General features: G+C 47.6%; 1 protein-coding gene across 2 annotated transcripts in view; it reads right to left on the bottom strand.

Annotated features, from left to right (window-relative positions):
* The window catches only part of ADCY2 (adenylate cyclase 2), a 433,944-nt gene continuing 426,393 nt past the window's right edge, over positions 269-7,819 (bottom strand). For both annotated transcript variants that reach the window (NM_020546.3, XM_011513942.3), the window contains one exon: positions 269-3,631. In NM_020546.3, the coding sequence (NP_065433.2) occupies positions 3,479-3,631 (153 nt within the window). In that variant the 3' untranslated portion in view covers positions 269-3,478. The remainder of the gene's footprint in view (positions 3,632-7,819) is intronic.

Genomic DNA, 7,819 nt, shown 5'->3' with positions numbered 1-7,819 from the left:
TACTCCCTTCACCTTCTACTACATACTGACTTTCAAAAGGCAGGGCTGTAATTGGCCAAGATTTCAAAAGATCTCACATTTGTTAGGCCATAAGAGAAAATGAAGTATATTTCTCTCGGTATCCCAATGTTTATCATTTAAAGCCAATGCATGAATGCTTGTTAAAGCCATCACACATCATATCTTCTTATATTAATGGATTGTTTTGGTTTATCAAATTTTCATCACTGGGCAATTATGTTGCTTTTTCTTTTTTTTCTTTTTTTTTCTGAGACAGAGTCTCGCTCTGTCACCCAGGCTGGAGTGCAGTGGTATAATCAAGGCTCACTACGTTCTGGACTTCCTGGGCTCAAGTGATCCTCCCACCTCAGCCTCCCATGTAGCTGGGACTACAGGCACGTGCCACCATGCCAAGCTAATTTTCTTATTTTTTTGCAGAGATGGGGGTCTTGCTATGTTGCCCAGGCTGGTCTCAGACTCCTGGGCTTAAGTGATCCTCTCTCCTCGGCCTCCCAAAATATTGGGATTATAGGAGCCACTGCACCCGGCCTGATGATGTTACCTGGTCATTCGGTGTATCCAGAGCAAAGGAAAGATGAATGGTTGCTGCCTTTAGGAGCACAGTGAGTTGGGAAGGAAGAATAACATCCTGGATTGATGACAAAACTTAGACACTCCTAAACAGATATGTAAAACACTGGGGTTTTTGGGAAACTGGACTGGAGGCAATTTCTATGAGAGGCTTCCTGTAAGACTTAAAGGTTAAGGAGAGCATTGGGGAGAGATTTTTTTTTTTTCTTGAAGCCAATGGCACTGGGACCTGGGCTGATGAGAGGTGCACTGCCAGTTTTCTGCCTGGCATTTTTGCTCACAGGGATGCTTTTAGCTGCCCAGAACTTTAAGGAGCTTTGACCAGGAATAATGCTCTTTCAGATTCAAGGAACAGGCAGTTTTCCATTCTAGCCTGGCCTCAACTGCTAATCAACTGTGGAACTCTGAACACATGTGCCTGAATTACTCTGCCCCTGTTTCCTCACCTGCAAAAACACTGGGGAGGGAGGGAGGTCTGAAGCTTGATCAGGGATCAGAATCACCTGGAGAACCTGTTCACTAAACAGCAGTTGTGCTGGGCCCCAGCCCCGGGGATCTCAAATTCAGGGTCCTCCTTCAGGTTGGGGCCTGAGAATTTGCATTTTTGATAAGTTCACAGGGGATGCTAAGGCTGCTCCTATGGGACCACACCTAGAAGGGACCAGGTACACACAGAGCTTCCCATAGTGGATTCTGACAATGACTCAATGCTTTTAAAAGCCTATTGTTTGGTAAGACTGGTGATATGGCTTTGGGAGAGCACAGTTCTCCTTTTGAGTTCTTTTTAGCGCAAACCCAAGTTCGGTGCACCCCGTGGGGGAATGGGAGGGACTCTGTTTATGAGAACTTGGTGGACCACCCAGCTGGGGGTGTTCACTCAGGGTAGGTGAACTAAGGTGACCTGCGGATGAGTGTAGCAGGATGTAACAGAGGAAGAACCCACGAGGCACGCCTGCTGCTCATCCTTACACATTTTACACCAAGGCCAGTTTGAGCTCACGGAAACGCTACGGCATCCGTGAAGAATGAGTTAGAGGAAAGAGAAAAGCCCTTGTAATAATTCTCTTGCTTTAATCACTGTTTTTGGAGATTTAGGTATATTAAGGCCAATGCTGAGTTGTGATTACAGGATCAAAAAATTCCCCATTGAGGCAGAATACTAAATAAGTCATGCTCTACTCACACTTCGGTGATGAAGGACGGTTATCAGCTTCGATAAGTGCCTTTTACTGGGAATGAGTCACAGTCCTGGCACAGCAGCTGTGCCCGTGCTGTGAATGTACCACGGGGCACCTGCCAGGCTCGCTCACAGTCATTGCCTCGTTTAATCACTAGCGAGTCCATAAGTTGCCAATAAGGAAAGTACTCCTAAGAGGGACTAAGAGATGTGTTCAAAGTCACACAGCCAGTAAAAAATCAGAGCCAGGATTCAAACCAGGAACTTGTGCTTCAAGTTCGAGTTCCCACGAATAAAAGGCTTCCTAAGAGATCATCTGGGTTCTCTACTTCTTACAGATGCCTGCCATGAGTTATAAAAAGAAAACAAGTTTGACCAACTGGGCTACAATTTGCAGTTTTGCTTTTAAACATTAGCTTATACACGATTGCTCTACTTTTCACTATTTGGCAAAGTATGATTTCTTTATGTTAAAAGTACCAAACAACTTGTGTTGGATTTACAAGAACAAATTCTTCAAGGCCTTCTGTCTTTAAAAATGCATGAACGTTGGCTGTGTGTCTTCTTTAGCCTTCTCAGACTTAACAGGCAGTTTGTGGGTCTTAGTACTTCTCTCAGTTAGCTCACGCTATTGTGAGACTGATTTGCATAGCTGATTCCAAATTATTCTTTTGCAGTCTATGTCTGTTAGCTCTAGCAAAACATTCTTGGAGACAGGAGCGTAGTGGACGGAGGGGGCACTGTTGCTCGCAGAGAATCTTTTTACTATTAAAGTATTTTTCCCTGAAAGCGTTCTCTAGAGATGCCCAAATTAAAATCAGACCACTAGATACATTCAACATGCTTGCCTGCTTTCCAGGGAGCTGAGTAACCAGTTATCTGCGTCACACACTGTGTCCTAATCTGAATTACATCTCAATATTGGCTTCTGGAGAGCTCTTTCTGAAACAACTGTGTCAAAAGGGAGAATGGATGGAAAACAAACCTTAATTCTGGAGCAAACCACAGGAGAAAGAAGACAGGAAAATAAAAGATACAGGCACTGTAAATCAAAGTACATAAAACTTTTAATGAATTAACTTTACAAAAGACAAATGGCATCAAAACATCAGACGAGTTTGATACAAAACTGGTCCTAGGCTGTGAGGACTAATTCTGGTGACGGATGGCGACGTGCTGCTGGCATGAGACACACGGAGCAGAGGGACGAGAGCCGTGGGTCCCAACGGGGGCCCTTGGACACCACTGGCAATGAGACAATGGGTGAGCACAGAGTCCACGTGGGGGACAGAATCAACTTATTCACGAATACTGTGTGTTTGAATATCAGATGAGCAGATGCGGTTGGCGAGCTACCATATTTTCCAGAAAAGAACATGCACCAGAAGATAATATACACCCCCTAGTTTTATTGCCTTAAGAATGTGTGTGTGTTTCACCTTTCTCCTCTGTTAGTTCTCCCAGTGCTTTTCTTCTATCACGCGCGCTCCTTTTCCCTTTTGCTTAGGAGCAAGCACAGTGCAAGTGGCAGAACGATCTGGGCACACATCAGACACCAAACGGTATGCCACTGGGTCACGAGAACGAGTCTGCAGAGGCTCCATAGGACAGACAGCACGCACATCAAAAACAAGGGACAGAAGTTGCAGTCAGAAAGTGTGTGATACCTTCCTGAAAATACAGTCTTCTTGCCAAAATGAAGGTGACTCTTCAGGATGCCACGTTGCTCTGGGAAAGGGACCTTGACATTTCTGTGTTTACAAAGTACGTCTTCAGGTCCCCCTTTCCTTTCACGTTGATTATTCCTCGACAGGTGCACGTGTATCCGAGGGTCTGCAGGACGAGGCTCGTCTCCTCGGTAACCTAGAAGGCACAGGAACACGGGAAAACGGGCTTAGTACATACATTGATACAACCCATCTGACTCAAGGATGCAGAGCTAAAAAAAGCACCATGCTCTTTGACCCAGGAATTCCACTCCTGAGAAGTTAGTAGAAAAGTGAGAGTAATCCACAAGAAAAAAAGGTTGTAAAGGACAATGTTGTTTAATTCAGCGCTGGGATAGTGAAAAACTGGAAACAACCTAAAATTCAAGTAACTCCAGTAAACTACGGTGCTACCATGATGCTATCATGGATGACACAATGTCAAACCATTTCACCCAGAAAAGGAATTGAGCCTGGATCCAGGCTATGATTTCAACCACATGATGTTATGTATTCACACTGAAGAGACCTGGATGAAAGAGAGTAAACCAAAATAGATTGGAGTGGTGGGATTCTGGATGATGTTTATACATTGTCATGAATGTCCTTTCATGAAATAAACATTAATCATAGATGTCAGTGTCGATGGGAGGAACACCCCGAGAAGGAGCACTGAGCACTGTAGACTCCTGCCAATGGTCGCGTCTGTCAGGTTTGATGCCTTTGAGTGAAGTAACCTAAAACTGAAAGAGCTGTAGGAATTTGCACTGGTGTCCGCATGAGCATGATGCTCCCAGTCAAGTCTCAAAGGTCTCCTCGCTTCACTGCATTGAAACGGGGGCTAAGGAGGGCAGCCCCTCTTGCAGGCTGCTGGCTTGACAGGACCACTTATTTCCTGCCATTGCACCGACAGGCGAGGGACCCGGCAGCTGAACCATGTCCAGGCCCTGCAGGTCGGATGGCCGTGAACTTGCTGGCTCTGACAGCTTCCTCCTCAGCGGAGATGCACTGTCCAGTACTGGCTCCCTGAGCTTCTGCGTGTGCTGCGCCTTCCTTAGGACACCCTGTCTGGGACTGTGGGCCCGCGCCTGCCTGGGCTTGGGCTGCCTGAGTGTGGAGGAGCTGCAAAAGCAGAGAACCAGTGAGACACACAGGCGTGGTCTGAGGGTGAGGCCTCAGCTTCTGAGGCCAGGGAAGACCCCTCTGTTGGCTACCTGCTCCTCCACCCAGTGTCCCCTAGCAGGTATCTGAGTTTGGGCAGACAGAAAGCCCTGGTAATGCTGCTTTGGAACCATGAGAAAAAGGCACAAAGGAGCAATCTCCTCCCACTTCATCTGAGAAGGCAGCTGGCATGGCTGCAACAAGGGCACCTGTGAGACCCTGGCCACCTCCAGCACTGGAGTGACAAACCTGTGCCAGGTGGGTGTGACAGGGCTGGGCAGCTTACAAGCCACATAGCAGTGTTATGGCACACAGCAGTGTTGCTATGGCACCCAGCAGCGTTGTTACGGCACACAACAAGTGTTGTTACAGCACACAGCAGTGTTATGGCACACAGCAGTTTTATGGCGCACAGCAGCGTTGTCATGTCACACAGCAGCATTGTCATGGCACACAGCAGCGTTGTCATGTCACACAGCAGCGTTGTCGTGGCGCACAGCAGCGTTGTCGTGGCGCACAGCAGCGTTGTCGTGGCGCACAGCAGCGTTGTCGTGGCACACAGCAGCGTTATTATGGGACACAGCAGTGTTGTTCTGGCACATAGCAGTGTTGTGGCACACTGCAGCGCTGTTATGGCACACAGCAGCATTGTTCTGGCACATAGCAGTGTTATGGCACACAGCAGTGTTATGGCACACAGGGGTGTTATGGCACAATTTTGGTTGTGGTGTGTCCCGGGGAAGGTGCAAAGGTGGGGGCCGTGTCAACAGCAAAGCTCCAGCCTCCTTGGACTTGGAGACTAAGAAAGGCCTTGAGGGCAGACATCACTGTTGGGGCAGAGGTAGAAGTGCAAGGAAACCATGAGGGGCTGTGCTCATGAGAGCCCAGGACAGCATCCAGGGACGCCCAGAACCAGGGTGAATCCTCCATGCGCAGATCTCAAGGGCGGGCTATGGAAGAATCATCCACCTTTCTGCAATGTCATGGAAGGACAGCCCCTAGCACAAGGTCCACGTGTGGGTCCTCGGGACCCTGATGAGCAGAGCAGAAAGGAAAAGGAGGCACAGGTGCCAGATGTCCATGTCCTGCTGCTCTGGTCTGGCCCAAGTCCTGGGAGGAGGGCAGGAGCCCCGGGAGTGCTTTGTGTACTGGATAAGAGCTGAAAGAAGATGAAGAAAACCAATGAAACTCAGGTTTGCAAATTCTGCAGTCATTGGACGAGCGGCCTTCCACCAAAAGTGGCCTTTTGGTGCTTTGGGGGTTAACTGTTGAGGTATTTACTGGTGCTAATGTCACTGGCATTTTAAAACTATCCACTGGTGTTCATAATGCCGAACCACCCGCCAATCAGCACCGCATGATTAATGGGAAACCGGGAGGAAGAAGCTGTCCATCTCGATGCACACCGGTTACTATGCCTCCAGGCCTAGGAGAAGCCGCAGGGTTGCTGAGTGGGCTTGCTATGCTGTTCTTGGGGTTTCCAGGCTAGAAAGCATGCTGGGAGTTAAATGCTCTTTAATAAAAAGAACCCGTTCCTCAGGCCTAGGAGAAGCTTATTAATGGTCTGGGCATCGTTTTTTATTTTCCTGGCATCTCACTACTATTTTTTGCACATAAATGGAAAAGAGAGCTTATTGGAGTGAGGAAGCAAGCCACACCTTCGGGATTAAAAACTTACCCAAATGCAGCCCTTCAGCTTCCGTGCTAAGGAAGCAAACACAGGTCTACAAACATGGCTCCCTACTGACAGGCAGAAACCTGTCTTGTTTCCCTCCAGGGATCAGAGGTCATGGAGCCGGTGTAGGTGGCCGACCTGCCCTGAGTCGCATGGAGCTTTATGAAGCCCAATATCCTCTTTGAGACACATATGAGCTCAAACTCATTTCAAACATCGACCTCTAGGAGATTTACGATCTCCAGGAGGGAGCACTCTCCATGACCTGCCTCACTCAAATTGCTTTTGATACTTCTCCCAAGTGCTTAAAAGCTGCTAGGGGATCTAGAAAGCATATTAAAAACTGCCATAAATCGTCGGAATATTCCGGGTGTTGTGCTGGGGACATGGGCTGGCCTGCAGGTGGGAAAGTGAGTCCTTGGTAGGGGCAGGCCTCTCTTCCCTGCCAAGATAAGACCTGGGGTTGTCCAGGATTGCAGGAGTATCCCTGGGCATTAGAAGTGGCTAGCGATGTTTATGCAGAAAGTCCCGGAAGCCTTGGTACCATCAGAAAATGATTAGACTAGGCTGCCAAAACGCCCCACGATTCTTGTTCTGGCTGGGCAACTGAGCAGTCTCCACAGATGATGACCACAGCTCCAGCCCCAGGGAGAAGAGCCTCGTCTTGCACCCTAGCATGAGAGGGGAGGCAGCTGGAGCCAGTGTTGGAAACTCACTCCAAGTCTGATCTCGTGAGCAGATCCTTGGCAATGGCCAATTTGGTTGGAATATTTCCTCCCCACCTCCCATTAGTTTTCTTTTATCTCTTCCTTCTCTTGGTTGGACTTTTACTTACTTTGTAGCAAGTGTTGACTCAATCTGAATAAAAGAAGGCAGATACTTAGAAGTAATGTTTCCTCCATTCCATACAAAAATTAAAGATATCCTTTAGAAAGACCAAAGGAATGAACGAGATGGGGTAAATATGAAAGGCAGGTAAGTCGAGGTTTAATAAAAAGCCCATTCTGACAACAATGGAGGGGACAGTCTTTTAAAGAGGAAAGGACTGTGCCAGTCTGTGCAGTCAATTTTAGGAGGCAAGGCTATTCGCATGTCTTGGCTAAGCTGAGACACACACTATAGGGATTTATCAAAAGCCCAGAGGACCACCATGATAAATCTATAGTGCAAGTCCGGTGACTTTCATATAAATTTTCCATTTAGCAGAAATTCATTTTCCAGAATGTAACATAACGGGGGTGAAACGTGAATCCACTGCTTTCTGAGAGTGAGACAAATAGAGTGTTCAGCACAGACACACACACACACACACATGCATGTACACACACATGCACACACGCTTCTCACTTGCAGATCCCAGCCCTTCTCTCTGGGTGTCTGGAACTGTGTACAATCAGGTGTATGTGTTCCAGCTGCTGATGATCAGCTCACTGATGAGCTCACTGGAAGGCAGATTGAATTTCACTAATTTCTAGCTATTAATAGAAGCAGAATTTTGAAGAAGGCAAG

The sequence above is a fragment of the Homo sapiens genome, chromosome 5 (genome assembly GCF_000001405.40).
Source record: "Homo sapiens chromosome 5, GRCh38.p14 Primary Assembly".
Classification (NCBI taxonomy): domain Eukaryota; kingdom Metazoa; phylum Chordata; class Mammalia; order Primates; family Hominidae; genus Homo; species Homo sapiens.
Note: the sequence above shows the minus strand (reverse complement) of the source record. Positions and strands in the feature narration are given on the sequence as shown.